At 40.5% G+C, this 18,319-nt stretch overlaps 1 long non-coding RNA gene across 1 annotated transcript; it reads left to right on the top strand.

Annotated features, from left to right (window-relative positions):
• Window positions 1-1,712: 1,712 nt before the first annotated feature.
• On the top strand, window positions 1,713-16,549 carry LOC105374396 (uncharacterized). Its single transcript, XR_001741656.2, has 3 exons — window positions 1,713-1,828; window positions 5,515-5,590; window positions 16,239-16,549. It is a non-coding gene; the product is annotated as an uncharacterized LOC105374396 (long non-coding RNA).
• Window positions 16,550-18,319: the final 1,770 nt, after the last annotated feature.

Here is an 18,319-nt window from a genome sequence, read left to right as displayed (position 1 = left end):
GGGAACTGCTAAACACTTTTAAAACCATCAGCTCTTCACTCATTATCATGCGAATAGCATGGGAGGGAAACCGTCCCCATGATCCAACCACCTCCTTCCAGGTCCCTCCCTTGACATGTGGGGATTACAATTGAAGATGAGATTTGGGTGGGGACTCAGAGCCAAACATATCAGTAATAATGCTAAAAGGGTTCTGAAATGAGAATCAAAAGACTGAGTTCTAATCTTATTTGTTTACCCCTCCCAACATCAGCACTAGTGATCAGTGACCTGATCCAACTACAGAAAATTTCATAGCTTGACCTCCACCCTCAGTCCATGAGGCACATCTGACCCTCTTGTCAAAGGATTCAGAATATTTCTGACATAATAGGCTCACCCTATTTCATAGAACAAAAGTGGTTGAAAGGAAAAATTCTAGTAAATAAATTAAGTCCAAATCATAGTAGATGTATATTTTTTGCTCTAAATAGCCCTAATGGTGGTAGTACGTTTTTTAAAATAAAGGTTAAGTTTGAGAAATATCTCCAAAGGAAAAATTCTAATTATGTATGTATCAAGTGAATTTATTGAAGGCAAAGGTTGAATACATAGAGGCTTTTAAATGTGTCTAAATTCAGTGATAAAATAGTGCAGATGCTTTAGTATTTTAAAATTGTTTATCATTTGAAGATTACATAGGCTGTATTCTCACATGCACATGTAATAAATAGATTCCCTCACCTTGTAAAACTCTATTTATCTAATATTCCACTAATGTAGAATACATATTTCTAGGCTTATTGTGAAAAATGATGGCGCCACAGCTGTCTACTGTAAATACCAAATGGTGTTTAAACCCATCCTCATACTTATTTTTAATGTAGATTTCTGATGAGAAAATATTAAAATGACTTAGATGCTTATTTAAAGTTAGTAGGTTTCATGTAAAAAGAAAGGATCAATTGTCATTTCCGCAGGGAGACTAAGTATTGTTTGATCTTCTTAAGGACAAGTCTAAGAAGGAAATATTTCTCCTGAATAATTTGGGGAGTCTGATAACTTAATAGTTTAAAAGTATTATAAACTCTGCAAAAATGGAGGTATATTTACTGAGAACCTTAAGAACATGTAATTGAGAGCATTTTGAACTTGCCTATGCTTTTAAAATACAAAAGGCCCCTATATAAGTAAATTATTTAAACTGTTCTAAGGCTGGTTTTCCTCCAAAATGAAAATGTGAAGATGACTTTTTCAAGACACTAAAGAATGAAATTTGACTGCTGTGGATCTGTCAAAATTGAGGAGCATGTGGGGAAATGATAGCTGTGACTCTATGACTTTAAGTTTTCTAAAGACAGGAATCTCTCTTGCTCTTCAGTGTGTATTGTGATCACCTGCAGAAGCGTGTAACCAACTGGTGTCAGGAGATTGGCTCACTATGTGAAAATGAACCTAAACCACCTAGGCTAGCTGTGCTTTATGAAACTGGGGCATGTGTCATATTTCTAGTTAGTATATTAGCATATTAATATTCACCAAGAAGAATAGAGAAAAATCTCAAAGAAGGTGTAAGGTCATACTTTAAGAGAATTAGCAAATATAGTTCATAATTCTGCCCCTCCTCCACCCCAGAAGCATTTAATATGTTGACACTAAACAAATGTTAGTTACTATTATGTATTGATCTTAAATTTCAGAGTGTAATCAATATCATAAAGTGCTCATAGATATTCTGCGAGATAGTCATAAGGTTAAAACTCTAAATTAACCTCTTCATCTAATAGGTGAAGAAATAAGCCCAGAGAGTTTACAAGACTTTACTTCCTGAATGAAGGTCACAATGCAAGTAAGTAGGAAATGAGATTAAAGTCAGGCTTTCTGTCACTTATTTTGAAATGATTTTTATATTATCACTAATATTCATTTGTTAAAAAATTGATATTGATATTAATTCTTGAGCTAAATCTCTGGTCTTACTGCAGAAGCCTACCTCAACTCTATATATTCCCACTTATCTATGTATCACTATGATGATGATAAAAGACTCAATCACATTTTAAAATCATACTGTGCCTCAATTCAATGAGTAAACTGAGGCAGAGACAGGTTAAGTGATAGGTAAGGTCACTGGCCACAGAGTTAGGACTCATGATGAAAGTTAAGGTGGAACCTCAGCAGAATCAGAGCTGTGGAAAGAAAAAGAGGGGACTTGGAAGGTGTTGTCAGTACTGGGAGGGTGTAGCGGAGTTCAGATCGTTAGGACTTGGAAATAAAGGAACATGATGATGATTGCCTTTCCATGCAAATCCCTTCTCTGTTGTGATCAGCTGAGCTGTTATATGGTCAGCTTCTTCCTAAAGGAAGGAGTCACCTGACCCAGGAGATGAATAGTTAAAAGACAATCATGATGTTTCCATTTCCTTTTGCTAGTGTTAGGATTCCTGGTAGTTTTGTGACACATATGTGGCCAATAAGATAAAAGGGGACTGTTCCAGGAAAAAAATACCATATTTAGAAAAAGAGAGAAGTAAAAAGAAAAAGCTGAGGGCTGGAGATGCCAGTAAGCTCGATGCTTTGGGAGGCCGAGGCAGGTAGACTGCTTTAGGCCAAGAGTCACAGACCAGCTTGAGCAACATAGTAAGACCCCCGTCTCTACAAAAAATACAAAAAATAGCTGGTTGTGGTTGCGGGCACTTGTAGTCTCAGCTACTTGGGAGGCTGATGTGGGAAGACCTTGAACCCAAGAGTCTAAGGCTGCAGTGAGCTATGATTGTGCCACTGCACTCCAGCCTGGGCAATAGAGTGAAAGATTATCTCTCAAAAAAAAAATGGTGAGAAACCTCACTAACTGTCTCCTTTTTGTAGTTGTGCTCACTTGTGTAATGATGTGATGTTTGGAAATGCAGGTCTTCTTCGATCGTGAGAAAAAATTAGGAGACTCTTGAAATTCAGCACCACAATAACTGCTAGTTATCTGAGTGTGGTCAAGCTGCTAAACCAACTCTAAAATTTTCTATAATCAAACATTTTTTATAAATAAAAAATTAATTAAATTTTGCTTAATACACTTTTAATTTGGCAATTTATTACTTATAGCCCCAAGGGTCGTAATGGACCTTGGATCCTGTTCTCTTCCCTTTGCCCTCAGATCTGTTCTCTGCCCATCTCTGTCTTGCTCTGTGCCCAGGAAGGCTTGCTCCTATGATCTGCATCACCTGGAACTCCTTTCCCTCTGGTTTCTGGTTGGCATCAGCTAACGGGAGACTCCTGTAGCTCAGAGTAGTTTTTTCCTACAACTGTATTTCTGATTCAATGTGGTTCTGGCTATGCCTTGCCAAGGGGCGGCTTCTGCCTGGTAGCATTTATATTATGACCCAGACTTTAGTGATTCCATTTTCTCTTCTTTCTCTATCAGTGCTAGGGGGGTGGTATCAGCTGATTGCTATTGCTACTTCTTGGGTGTCTCAACACATCTGTGGTTTTCCTTAAACTTGTCTATATCTCTTGCAGATAGATCTTTCATTTTCACAAACATCTCAGCTGTGAGTGTTGCCTGTTTCTTACTGGGATGCTGACTGATACATACACTTTCTGAGAGTTGAAATGTTACTAATAAATCAGAGTAGAGATGGCCAAAGTACATTAAAAAGCAAAATAATTCTAGGCCAGTACAAGTTGCTTTCAATTAAGTTGAAAGTTATACTCTACATAGGGCCCTCTAGAGCTGCTGTAAGAAAGTACCTGAACTACGTAGAAATGTGTTGTCTCACAGTCCAGGCCAAAAATCTGAGATGAAGCTGTTGGTAAGGTCACTGGCCACAGAGTTAGGACTCATGATGAAAGTTAAGGTGGAACCTCAGCAGAATCAGAGCTGTGGAAAGAAAAAGAGGAGACTTGGAAGGTGTTGTCAGTACTGGGAGGGTGTAGCGGAGTTCAGATCGTTAGGACTTGGAAATAAAGGAACATGATGATGATTGCCTTTCCATGCAAATCCCTCCTCTGTTGTGATCAGCTGAGCTGTTATATGGTCAGCTTCTTCCTAAAGGAAGGAGTCACCTGACCCAGGAGATGAATCAACCCAGGGTTGATTCTTCCTGAGGGCAGTGAGGGAAGGAACTGTCCCAAGCCTCTCCCCCAGCTTCTGGAGATTTGCTGGCAATCTTGGGCGATCCTTGACTTCTGCACTACCCTTTCTGCCTTCATCTTACTCTGTGCATGCCTATCTCCAAATATCCCTTATTATAAGGAAACACTTGTATGGAATTAGGGACCAACCCTACTCCATATTTCTAAATAAGGTCACATTTTAAGGTACTAGGAGTTAGAACTTCAATATACTAATTTTGAGATGATACAGTTTGATCCATCGTACCCTGTCTAAAGAAACCAGTACGAACTGGTTGTTCTGCTATGAAATAGAAAAAGAATTTAGAAAAACTTGTCTAATACTTGACATGGTTGATGATACTATGAACTAGGGATAAAAACTCTCCGCAGAAACTCTCTAATTTGAGTGGTAGATATGTCCCCACCTTGGAAATAGTTCTCTCTCATTCCTTTAACCTAATTCACTAAGAAACAGTCTGACTATAATTAACCTGCTCATTTAAAAAATTTAAACCTTTATTGAGCACTTAAATCACCATTCAAATACTTTATTATGTTTTGTTTAACTCAATTTTTACAACAGTCTTATAAGAAAGTTACCATTAGGATCATTATTTTTCATATGAGTAACTAAGATTTTAGATCAAGTCACTTGAACGAGGTCTCTCAGCTAGTACACTGTGAAGCTAGAATTAAAATGTAAAACTTCTAACTCCAGAATGGTTGTTCTAAACTACTATGTTTTGTTTGATCTCAGAAAGGGAAAGTTATAGTTAAGGATCCCAGTGTGACATAATCTCAGCTCAGTTTTTGTTTGTTTAATTATGAACCTGGAAATCTCGTATGCTCATCAATGTCAGCAGTTTATTAAATGTTAGGCTGTCCTGGGGTTGATTGATGCTTTGTGTTGCCAGTTCTAGTCTCCAGTACTTACGTCTCAGGTTCAATTGTGTCTGAGTTTCAACTGGTCTCTGCTCATTTTATTTAAACTTTCACAAAAGCTAATATACAGTGGAGTTACTCTGCAACAAATTTAGCTAAAAAAATTTTACCTATCCAAAATATAATTTTCTATGCTTAATTTTTTAAAAAATATTTTAATGTAATGATTATGGAGAGACTGTTCCTCAAAACCACTCATACGCAACTATGTGGGAAATTACATCCTTTAATAGAAGTAGACCAAATAGGTATGGGAAACAAGAGAAGTGGCATTAAATTGCAATAGAAATCAGGATGTTTGATCTTTGGCACTGACCAAGGGGAAAAAAAAAAGCATGGTAAAGAACACGTTTCCTTTTTCACTGAGAAACAGACAGGTAGCAAAAGGAGATGTCATTGTAAAGCAGACGGAGTTGGGAATTGAAAGATTAGCATAGCTCTAGCAATCAGACATTGCAACCTAAATTGTTTCTCTTTTCACAGATTACTTACTAATGGATGTAATTCCTGACACTTAGCTGGAGAAAAATTGCTTTATTGGGCCAGATAAACTTGCCAGGTAAATCTCGTTATCTTCAAGATGATTAGATGCCTGTGGTCAGAGTGGGTGTGTTTTTGCTGCTGTTTCACCATTTATAATGTAGTTTAAGAGAATTTGATTACATTTAAATCCATATCCTTAGCTTTCATCCTCCATAATTGGGCTTCAGAGACTTGAGGTACGAATTGGTCTAGATATAAAGTCATAAGTGGAAAATTTATGGAAGTCAAATAAACTGAGAAGTTTTGGATTTTCAGTATTATACAGAAATGAGAGATGCATGTTGGTGATATGCCAGCCCATCTCTTTCACATAGATGAGTTTCTTTAATTCCCTCAGCAAAGTTTTCAGATGGATATGCTTATATTTATCAAGTTAATGAGAATGCTGGCATTCACAGACATTAAGTTTTCTAAATTCTCATAGGTAGCAAACAAGAAGTTTTGGGAATAAATAAATAAATCTTAATCCTAAACTCTTCTTAGGTTAGCACTCTACCTTATATATCAAATTAAATTTCTTACTAAATACATGATAACACAATATTTACAAAAAGTGTGTTTTGTAGTGATTGGTTCAACCAATTCATATAAATATTTTTCTGCCTTTCCTCTTTCTTCCTTTCCCTGCCTCTCTTGCCCTTTCTCTTTTATTCCTTCCATTACACATTTATAGTGCAATGCAATGAAACAGATCATATTCTAGTTTCATGGGACATAGGTCCATTCATCTATATCTCTTCAGGCATGATTCAGGGCATCCTAGGACTTCATAGATTAGAGTTCCAGGACTATCTAGTAGGTAAGCTAAAAAAGTACATCCTCATGTTCTGGCAAAAGAATGTGGACCTGGTGGGAGCGAAGGAAAAGTCAGAGAATGGTGCACAGTCTAGACATCTCTAGCTAGAGCAGTGAGCAGTGAGCAATGTGACCAGTCCTCCTTTTCATATGGAAATTGTATTACTCTAATTTTTGCTAACAGAGCAAATTTAAGGTTAAATATAAGGTAACATTGACATCTTAATCTATGCTTCTTGATGAGGTATTTGGAAATGAGGGAATGACAGATTCCTAATTTGGAGGTGTGGCTGCTGGGCATTGCTTGGCCCCAGATCTCTGGAGTCAGATTCAACACTTTTTTGGCATATTACCCACAGGCCTATGAATGCTGATTAGAAATCAGTTACCCTAGATTTTTTATGTGTTCATAACACATCTTAAATTATGATTTGTGTGTGTGTGTGTGTGTGTGTGAGTGTGTGTCATTCATTTCTGTATCTATATACCAGTCTGTATTAAGGTTTAACTATTTTCCCAACCTACTGGTAGGTTCTGGAGTTACAGGAGAGTGAAATACAGGAAAGGATTCTGTTTTTCTGAACTCCATTCAAAGTGTGGCTGGATTATGCTTTCTGCATTTTCACATTCTCTATCCAGCTTTCACTAATAAGCATACCTATGGGCACTATCAGATTGTAGGTATCAGTGTATTCAGCGAAATGAAACACTTTGGCATATTTTTCATCTCTTAGAATTTGAGTGTTGAATTATTTCATCTATGTAATACATTGCACAATGATATAGTACTTGTGATTAAAAAAATACAAGCATTTACCTTGTATATTATACCTTGTATAATATATAAGCATTAGACCAAAAAGCTTCTTAATGGACAATCCCAAGGCACCGTTTAGAAAACCTTGAGAGGAATCTTGGATGTGTTGATTGTCATCTTGAGATGAAGAAGTGCTGAACCTTGTCAAGATTCAAACCCATCCAACTACCTTTCAGCTCTTCACTTTCAGAACTTGATTTTGCATTCAACACAATCTCTTGGCATTTGAAACTCTGTCAAACTAAACAGCTCTGTTTTAGACACATGTTTTGTAAAGCTTCACAGGTACTCTGTTTGCACACACAGTATATCTTTTAAATAATATAACCTTGAAGCAGCATTGAGCTATTATTTTCATAAAAGGAAAACTAGAAACCAGTGATGCTTACGTATTTGCTGTCTTCACAGAAAAAAAATGCACTGCTAGCTTTATTTTTACACAGTAATGTACTTCTTCCATTTTGAGACCATAAGCACGATTTTTTCACAAATAATTCAGAGCCAAGATATGAGTTTGCTTCATTTCTCCCTAAACCTAAGAGCAAAGTTGCTTTTTCATCCATAAAGCAAATGTTTTCTCAAAAAATTGAAATTCTGGGACATGTATTTTACCTATTCTTTGCAGCCCAGAATTCCAATGAATATTATTGGTAGAATATAATCTCAGTAACAATACAGCGCCCACTATAGAGTTTATGATTGGACTTAAAAGGCAGAGTATGAACAACAGCGGAAAAAAATCATTGTTTCATGTTCTTTTTGTTATTCCATGCACCTATCTACATTTGTATCTTAATTTTAAATTCATTATAGGATATCACACTGTCTCATATATTAAATTGTATAGAATATACAATGCCAGAAGTAGTACATTTGAAGTTTTAAGTACCATATGAATATGACAGGAGTAAATGTTTAAAATTTGTTGAAGGGTAACCTTACTCTGTGTGTGTGTGTGCGTGTGTGTGTGTGTGTGTGTGTGTGTTTACATTTACTTCTTTTACATCTGTATACATACATAAATTTATCTGCAGTACAATCAGCCTGAGAAAAACACCCATGTCATTTAAAGTCAACTTGGAATCATCAAGTTACACAGACCATTTCTGTAATTTTGTATAAATTTGAAATGAAATTACCAAAAACATTAAATAACAGGATAATTCCACTACATCAGTTTTTGTTTAGCCTTACTTTCTAGAATGGAGTTCACATTTTTAAAACGTATCTAGGTGTGATACAATTATTCTTAATTTATTAAACAGTCTGTTGAACAGGGTTTACCCTCCCCTTTAAAGATATTGCTCATTGCTTTATATACTGTTTTTCAAATAATGGAAAAAGGAGAAGAAAAATAAATACATTTGGAAACATTTTATTCTTTCATCTCAGTTCTGCCTCTCTTGGCTCCATGCTATGTTTGCCCTTAACAAATTTAAGTGTTATACTGAGTATGTTTTCCTATCAGAGGTTGCAAACTGGCAGCTAGAGGGCCACAGATGGTCCACAGATGTATTTTGTTTGACTCATACAGTGTTGGCCTACACAGTATTTATATCTCATTCTTAATTAGAACTGAGAGATTCCACTTATATGTGTGGATAACACTTCTCTTGAAAAAAATATCAGAAGTTTTGATACCAGTGATCTTTTTTTTGAGCATAGTGTTTATTGGCTGAGTTGAGGTCACCTTGCCTGTGGTTCATCACAGCTCCTACCAATCCCTATTGCACCCTAATACTGTGGCCAGTTGTCAATTGTTATTAGAGCACTTGTGCTATTGTTTTTCTTTCTGAGTCAGAGGGAAAATGGAATATTTCTTATAGCCCTTCCTTTGTCTTATACATGGCCAACATCCCATATTTATATTATCAGCCTTCCTCTAAAATTATATAATTTTAGGACCTCTATTTTATTGGATAGCTTTTGCCCAAAGTAGTAACAAGAATCAAGCAGATTTACAGTCTGCAGACCTGAGTTCCAAAATCCAAGTGCCATTTACTGACTATGTAATAGTATATAAATTAAGTCAAGTCATTTAACCATGACCAGCCTTTAAAGTATCTAAAATAAAGTATTACAACTATTTATATACTTTTAAAGAGTCAAAAACTACTTAAAGAAATTAAGCCCATCAGTTTTGTGAGGAATAAATGAGACAATGTTTGCATAGTATCCTTGGGGCAGAGTAGGTATTGCATACATATTTGCAGCATCCCTGTGCCTCAGTCTGTTTAGTGTTGCTATAAAGAAATACCTGAGGCTGAGTAATTTACGCAGGAAAGAGGTTTATTTGGTTCACAGTTCTGCAGGCTGTACAAGAAGTGTGGTGCCAACATCTGCTTGCTCTTCCAGTGGAGTCCTCAGACTTCTACTCATGGTGGAAGGTGAAAGAGATCCATAGTGTATGGCAATCACATGGTGAGAGAGGAAGCAAGAGGAAGAGGAAGGAGGTCCCTAGCTCATTTTAACAACCAGCTCTTATGAGAACTAATAAAGTGAGAACTCACTCATTACTGTGAGGATGGCATCAAGATATTCATGAAGTATCCAACCCCATGACCCAAACACTCCCCATTAGGACCCACCTCCAACACTAGGGATCAAATACCAACATGAGATTTACAGTCAAATATCAAAACATAGCATGTTCCCTTGCCCCCCACCAAAACTCATATTCTTCTCACAATCATTTTTTCTCAATAGTCCCCAAAAGTCTTAACTTGTTCCAGAATTAACTCAAAAGTCCCAAGTCCTAAGTCTCTTCTGAAACTCAAGGCAAATTTCTTACAGCTATGAGCCTGTGAAATCAAAAATGAGTTATTTATAACCAAGATACAATGATTGTACAGGCATCACATAACCATTCCTATTTTGAAATGGAGAATTCAGTAAAAAGAAAGGGGTGAGAGACCCCACCCAGCAGGGACGATATTAAGCCTGAAAGCTCCAAAATAAATTCCTTTGACTCCATGTCCTCCATCCTGGCTACACTGGTGTGAGTGGTCGGTTCTCAAGGCCTAGGGCAGCCCTGTCTCTGTGGCTTTTCTGGTGCTGCTTCAACGTGGCTGCTTTCACAGTTTGGCATCCAAAGCATGTGGCTTTTCTTTTCTTTTCTTTTCTTTTTTCTTTTTTTTGAGATGGAGTTTCTCTCTGTTGCCCAGACTAGAGTGCAGTGGTGCTATCTCGGCTCACTGCAAACTCTGCTTCCTGGGTTCAAGTGTTCAATTGATTCTTCTACCTCAGCTTCCTGGCTAGCTGGGATTACAGGCACCTGCCACCCACCCAGCTAATTTTTCCTTTTTTTTTTTTTTTTTCTGGAGAGAAAAGGTTTCGCCGCATTGGCCAGGCTGGTCTCGAATTGCTGACCTCAACTGATCTGTCCACCTCGGCCTCCCAAAGTGCTGGTATTACAGGTGTGAGCCCCTACTCCTGGCCACCTGTGGCTTTTCTAGGTTGAGATTGTATTCTCCTGGTGGCTCTATCATTCTGGGGTCTGGAGGGGAGTGGCCCCATTTCCATAGCTTCACTAGGAACTATCCTGGTGGGGACTCTGTGGGAGCCCCAACACCACATTTCTGCTCAGCATTGCCTTACTAAAGGCTCTCCGTAGGGCTCTAACCTTGCAGCAGGCTTCTGTCTGGGCATCCAGGCTTTCTGATTCATCCTCTGAAATCTAGGTGAAAGCTGCCAAGCCCCCACCACTCTTGCATTCTGGGCTCCTGCAGATCTAACATCATTTTGAGAGGTGAAGCCAGCTGGACTTCCTGGGTCAAGTGGGGACTTGGAGAACTTTTCTGTCTTACAAGAAGACTGTAAAATGCACCAATCAGAGCTCTGTGAAACACACTAATCAGCAGGATCCTAAAAGTAGCCAATCACAGGGATGATTGAAAAAGGGGCACTCTGATAGGACAGAAATGAAATATGGGAGGGGCCAATAAGGGAATAAAAGCTGGCAACCCCCAGCCAGCAGCTGGGGACCCACTTATGTCCCCTTCGATGCTGTGGAAGCTTTTTTCTTTTGTTCTTCACAATAAACCTTGCTATCACTCACTCTTTGGGTCCGTGCTATCTTTACGAGCTGTAACAGTCACTGCGAAGGTCCGTGGCTCCATTCTTCAAGTCAGTGAGACCACGAACCCACAGGAAGGAACCAACTCTGGACACACCTTGGTGGATTGTCCAGGAGTTTGCCATGCAGTGAGTACCATCGGATGCTTTTCGCTTGCTATTCTGTCCTATTTTTCCTTAGAATTCAGGGGCTAAACACTGGACATCTGTCGGCCAGTTAAAAGTGACTAGCACAGCAGCCAGACTAAAGACACGGGTGTTAGGCTTTCTGGGAAAGGGCTCTCTAACAACCCCTGATTCTTCAGAGTTGGGAATGTTGGTTTGCCTGGAACCAGCTTCTGGTTTTCCTGCATTTCTGGGCTGAGCCGAGGGTCAACAGAGAGGAAAGCCATTTGGCTCCAGGGTCCTGACAAAAGGTTGGTTGACCCTCCAGCCATGAGCGGAACTCTCAAAGTTATGTCACCCAAGAGAGACTGGCCCATCTATTCTATCTGGACCCTTGCCTCCTGGGTCCTAATGCCTGTTAGACAAACATCCTCCGGCCTCTCTTCCTCGAGGCTAGTCCTGCTTCTGAAACCCACTCCCTGTCTCTGGTGCTCTTCTAGTTTCTCCTATAAGAATGATTTCTAGTATAAATGTTGGGACTCTGTTTCCCATCTTTAGGCACCTGGGCTCACCATTCAGAAAGACATAATTTTTGCCTGAAGCCCCTTCGGAGTGGGGAGACTATCTGGAATTCTAGGATCCCTCCTCAGACTAACAGGGCTAACAAAGGGTATTCCTGAAGCTAAGATATGGGGAGCCTTTGTGGGGATATCCTTCCTATTCATATGATGAGAAGTGAGGACAAAAGGCATTCCAACCCTGGAGATCCCTTCCCTCCCTCAGGGTATGGCCCTCCACTCCATTTTGAGGCATATCATCTTTATAGGACAAGGATAAGGTCCCAATACCAACAGGAGAAAATGTTTAGGACTCTAACACATTTTCAAGAATGCACCGGTAAGGGCCACTAAATCTGACTTCCTCGGTCCTCTTTGTGGTCTAGGAGGAAAACTAGTGTTTCCACTGCTGGTTTGGTGAGTGCAACTATTCCAAACAGCAGGGTCCAGGTACTGTTGTGGGGTCTTTGGCAGGGAAAAAAATAAATAAAGAAAACAAAACCACGGGTGGTTTTTTCTTTCAGATGGGAAACACTCAGGCATTAACGGGTTCACCCTTGAAATGCATCTTAAGCCATTGGGACCAATTTGACCTGCAAACCCTGAAAAAGAAGCAGCTTATTTTTTTCTGCACTATGGCCTGGCCCCAATATTCTCTCTCTGATGGGGAAAAAGGGCCACCTGAGGGATGTATAAATTATAATACTGTTGTGCAGCTTGACCTTTTCTGTAAGAGAGAAGGTAAATGGAGTGAAATACATTATGTCCAAGCTTTCTTTTCATTGAAGGATAATCCAAAACTATGCAAAGCTTGCAATTTACATTCCTCAAGAGGACCTCTCAGCTTACCTCCATATCTTAGCCTCCTTACAGCTCCCCTTCCTAATAATGATAAGCCTCCTCTAATCTCCCCCACCCAGAAGGAAACAAGCAAAGAAATCTCCAAGGGACCACAAAAACCCCTGGACTATTGGTTATGTCCCCTTCAAGCTGTATGGGGAGGGGAATTTGGCCCAAGCTTGGTACATGTCCCCTTCTCCCTCTCTGATTTAAAGCAGATCAAGGTAGACCTGGGGAAGTTTTCAGATAATCCTGATAGGTATATAGATGTCCTACAGGGACAAAGGCAAACCTCAGACCTCACTTGGAGAGATGTCATGCTATTGTTAGATCAAACCCTGGCCTTTAATGAAAAGAATGCAGCTTTAGCTGAAGCCCAAGAGTTTGGAGATACCTGGTATCTTAGTCAAGTAAATGATAGAATGATAGCCGAAGAAAGGGGCAAATTCCCTACCAGACAGCAAGCCATCCCCAGTATGGATCCCCACTGGGACCTAGACTCAAATCATGGGGACTGGAGTCGTACACTTCTGTTGACCTGTGTTCTAGAAGGACTAAGGAGAATTAGGAAAAAGCCCATGAATTATTCAGTGATGTCCACCAGAGAATTAGGAAAAGGCCCATGAATTATTCAATGATGTCCACCATAATTCAGGGAAAGGAAGAAAATCCTTCCACCTTCCTTGAGTGGCTATGGGAGGACTTAATCAAATATACTCCCCTGTCACCCAACTCCTTCGAGGGTCAATTGATAGTAAAAGATAAGTTTATTACCCAATCAGCCACAGATATCAGGAGAAAGCTCCAAAAGTGAGCCACGGGCCCTGACCAAAATCTGGAAGCATTATTAAACCCAGCAACCTCGGTGTTCTATAATAGGGACCAAGAGGAACAGGCCAGAAAGGAAAAGTGAGATCAGAGAAAGGCTGCAGCCTTAGTCATGGCCTTCAGACAGACAAACCTTGGTTCAGAGAGGACAGAAAATGGAGCAAGCCAATCACCCGGTAGGGTTTGTTATCAGTGCGGTTTGCAAGGACACATTAAAAAAGATTGTCCAATGAGAAACAAGCCACCCCCTTGCCCATGACCACTGTGCCAAGGCAATCACTGGAAGGTGCACTGCCCCAGAGGGCAAAGGTTCTCTGGCCCAGAAGCCCCCAACCAGATGATCCAACAATAGGACTGAGGGTGCCCGGGGCAAGTGCCAGCTCATGTCATCATCCTCACTGAGCCCCAGGTAAGTTTAACCTTTGAGGGCCAGGAAATTGACTCCCTCCTGGACACTGGCGCGGCCTTCTCAGTGTTAATCTCCTGCCTATATGGTTGTCCTCAAGGTCCATTACCATCGAAATCCTGGGACAGCCTGTAACCAGGTATTCTCCTACCTCCTCAGTTGTAATTGGGAGACTTTGCTCTTTTCACATGCCATCCTTGTTATGCCTGAAAGTCCCACACCCTTATTAGGGAGGGACATATTAGCCAAAGCTGGAGCTATTATCTACATGAATATGGAGAACAAGTTTGTTGTCCCCTATTTGAGGAGGGAATCAACCCTGAAGTCTGGGCATTGGAAGTACAATTTGGAGGGCAAAAAATGTCCACCCAGTCCAAATCAGGCTAAAAGACCCCACCACTTTTCCTTATCAAAGGCAATATCTGTTAAGGCCTGAAGCTCATAAAGGATTATAGGATATAGTTAGACATTTAAAACCTCAAGGCTTAGTAAGAAAATGCAGCAGTCCCTGCAACACCCCAATTCTAGCAGTCCAAAAACCGAATGGTCAGTGGAGACTACTACAAGATCTCAGACTCATCAATGAAGCAGTAATTCCTCTATATCCCATTGTACCCGACTCCTATACCCTGCTCTCTCAAATACCAGAGGAAGCAGAATGGTTCACTGTTCTGGACCTCAAGGATGCCTTCTTCTGCATACCCCTCCAGTCTGAGTCCCAGTTTCTCTTTGCCTTTTAGGGTCCCATGGAACACACGTCCCAACTTACATGGATGATCTTGCCCCAAGGGTTTAGGGACAGCCCTCATCTGTTTGGTCAGATACCGGCCCAAGATCCAGGCCACTTCTTAAGTCCAGGCACTCTGGTCCTTCAGTATGTGGATGATTTACTTTTGGATACCAGTTCAGAAGCCTCATGCCAGCAGACTACTCTAGATCTCTTGAACTTTCTAGCTAAGCAAGGGTACAAGATGTCTAAATCGAAGGCCCAGCTCTGCCTACAAAAAGTCAAATATCTAGGCCTAATCTTAGCCAGGGGAACCAGGGCCCTTAGCAAGGAATGAATACAGCCTATACTGGCCTATCCTCACCCTAAAACATTAAAATAGTTGTGGGGGTGTTCCTTGGGATCACTGGCTTTTGTCAACTATGGACCCCTGGATACAGCGAGATGGCCAGGCCACTCTATATGCTAATCAAGGAGACCCAGAGGGCAAATACTCATCTAATAGAATGGGAACCAGAGGCAGAAACAGCCTTCAAAACCTTAAAGCAGGCCCTAGTACAAGCTCCAGCCTTAAGCCTTCCCACAGGACAAAACTTCTCTTTATACACCACAGACAGCAGGAATAGCTCTTGGAGTGCTTACTCAGACTCATGGGACAACCCCACACCCAGTGGCATACCTTAGTAAGGAAACTGATGTAGTAGTGAAAGGCTGGCCTCACTGTTTATGGGTATTTGAGGCAGTGGCCATCTTAGTATCAGAGGCTATCAAAATAATACAAGGAAAGGATCTCACTGTCTGGACTACTCATGATGTAAATGGCATACTATGTGCCAAAGGAAGTTTATGGTTATCAGACAACAGTCTGCTTAGATACCAGGCACTACTCCTTGAGGGACCAGTGCTTCAAATATGCATGTGTGCAGCCATAAACCCTGATATTTTTCTCCCAGAGGATGGGGAACCAATAGAGCATAACTGCCATCAAATTGTAGCTCAGACTCATCTCACCCGAGAGGATCTCTTAGAAGGCCCCTTAGCTAATGCTGACCTTAACTTATATACCAATGGAAGTTCATTTGTAGAAAATGGGATACAAAGGGCAGGTTATGCCATAGTTAATGATGTAAGAGCACTTGAAAGTAAGCCTCTTCCCCCAGGGACCAGCGCCCAGTTAGCAGAACTAGTGGCACTTACCTGTGCCTTAGAACTGGGAAAGGCAAAAGAATAAGTGTGTATATACACATAGCAAATATGCTTATCTAATTCTACATGCCCATGCTGCAATATAAAAAGAAAGTGAGTTCCTAACCAGTCAGGGATAGTATGAGATGCCACCCGGCATTTACAGGAAAAGGCTTCTGAAATCAGACAATGCCTTTCAAACTCTTATACCAACCTCTAGAGTTGGGTGACATGGCTTCTCCCCTTTCTAGGTCCTGTAACAGTCATCTTGCTATTACTCGCCTTTGGGACCTGTATTTTTAACCTCCCTGTCAAATTTGTTTCCTCCAGGATTGAGGCCATCAAGCTACAGATGGTCGTACAAATGGAACCCCAAATGAGCGCAACTCACAACTTCTACTGAGGACCTCTGGACCGACTCACTGGCCCTTTGACTGGCCTAGAGAGTTCCCCTCTGGAGGATGCTACAACTGCAGGGCCCCTTCTTTGCCCCTATCCAGCAGGAAGTAGTTAGAACAGTCATTGCCCAGTTCCCAACAGCATTTGGGGTGTCCTGTATAATGGGGGGATTGACAGGCGAAGCCAGCTGGACTTCCTGGGTTCAGTGGGGACTTGGAGAACTTTTCTGTCTTACAAGAGGATTGTAAAATGCACCAATCACTGCTCTGTAAAAACGCACCAATCAGCACTCTGTAGCTAGCAAGAGGATTGTAAAATGCACCAATCATTGCTCGTAAAAAGCACCAATCAGTGCTCTATAAACCGCACCAATCAGCACTCTGTAAAATGCACCAATCATCAGGATCCTAAAAGTAGCCATTCGCAGGGAGGATTGAAAAAAGGGCACTCTGATAGGACAGAAATGGAACATGGGAGGGCCAATAAGGGAATAAAAACTGGCAACCCCTAGATAGCAGTGGCAACCTGCTTGGGTCCCCTTCCATGCTGTGGAAGCTTTGTTCTTTTGCTCTTCACAATAAACCTTGCTACCACTCACTCTTTGGGTCCATGTCATCTTTAAGAGCTATAACACTCACAGTGAAGACCCACAGCTTCATTCTTGAAGTCAGTGAGACCATGAGGAACCACCTCCAGACACAATGTGAAAGCCATCCAGGCTTAGAGCTTTCATTCTCTGGAGCAGAAGCAGTGCCTAGTATCTTTCAAGCCATGGATAGAGCTGTCTGGGTCCATTCTCCCAAAAAATTTCTATCCTCCTAGGCCTCTGGGCCTGTGATGGCAGGGACAGCCTCAAAGATTTCTGAACCACCCTTGGGGGCGCTTTTTCCCAATTGTCTTGACAATTAGCATCTGGCTCCCTTTTATCTGTGCTAATGTTTCTAGCAAGTGGTTGCTCTGCAGCGTCCTTGAATTCCTCTCCTGAGAATGCTCTTTCCTTCTCTAACACACAGCCGGGCTGCAAATATACCAAATGTTCATGCTCTGCTTCTCTATTAATTATAAATTTCACCTTTAGGTCATTCCTTTGCTGCAATTATAAATTCTTTCTCTGTCCTTTTGAAATGTGCATAAGTCTTCTCCCAAGCATTGCCAGTTTATAACCCAGAGAATGTCTTTTTGCAGGACCTGGAACCATCTGTTTGAAATATGAATATTAAAGGAGATGGTCTATCTCTCAATTCTTTGAGAGTTTAAATGCCTAACTTCTATAAACACCATTTGGCAAATGCAGATGGCTTAATCACAGAGAAACATACTTGCAAACTCAGGAATAACTCAATGTGTTCCACATATCCCATTGACCAACTTCTCTCATAAAGTTCTCTGGTAATTTTCTACTAGCTCATGTCAGTGCTCAAAACTCTTTCAACCTCTGTTTCTATGGAGGAGTTGAGTTCAGTCTCTCTCCACTATTGCAACAACTTGAATAAATTCTTCCCATCCTGCTTAACTTTGTCTGGTACAATTTTTGCTTTGACACAACTTAGAAAACTTGAAGCCAAATTTGATGCCTGTTTCTAAGAAGAATACTGTAAATTTTGTACCATTTTCTTAATTATATATTAATACATTTTGAAATATGTTTTATTTTGGTTTTCTTATTTAACTTTTATATTTTTATTGTATTTGCTTTCTAGACAACGAATTAAATATTTTTGGAAGGATGGTGAGAAAAAATGGCTTTTTGTTCCACTTCCATTTGTCACAATAAGGTGGTGATTGCGTTGATGTGTAGAGGCAAAAAAAGTGAGTGAGGTTTTTTTTGTTTTGTTTTTTTTTTTTTTTTTTTTTTTTTGACACGGAGTCTTGCTCTGTTGCCCAGGCTGGAGTGCAGTGGTGCGATCTTGACTCACTGCAAGCTCCGCCTCCCAAGTTCACGCCATTCTCCTGCCTCAGCCTCCGGAGTAGCTGGGACTACAGGGGGCGCCAACACGCCAGCTAATTTTTTG

This window comes from Homo sapiens, chromosome 4 (assembly GCF_000001405.40).
Source record: "Homo sapiens chromosome 4, GRCh38.p14 Primary Assembly".
Taxonomy (NCBI): domain Eukaryota; kingdom Metazoa; phylum Chordata; class Mammalia; order Primates; family Hominidae; genus Homo; species Homo sapiens.
The sequence above is the reverse complement of the archived record's forward strand: the minus strand, read 5'-3'. Positions and strand labels throughout refer to the sequence as shown.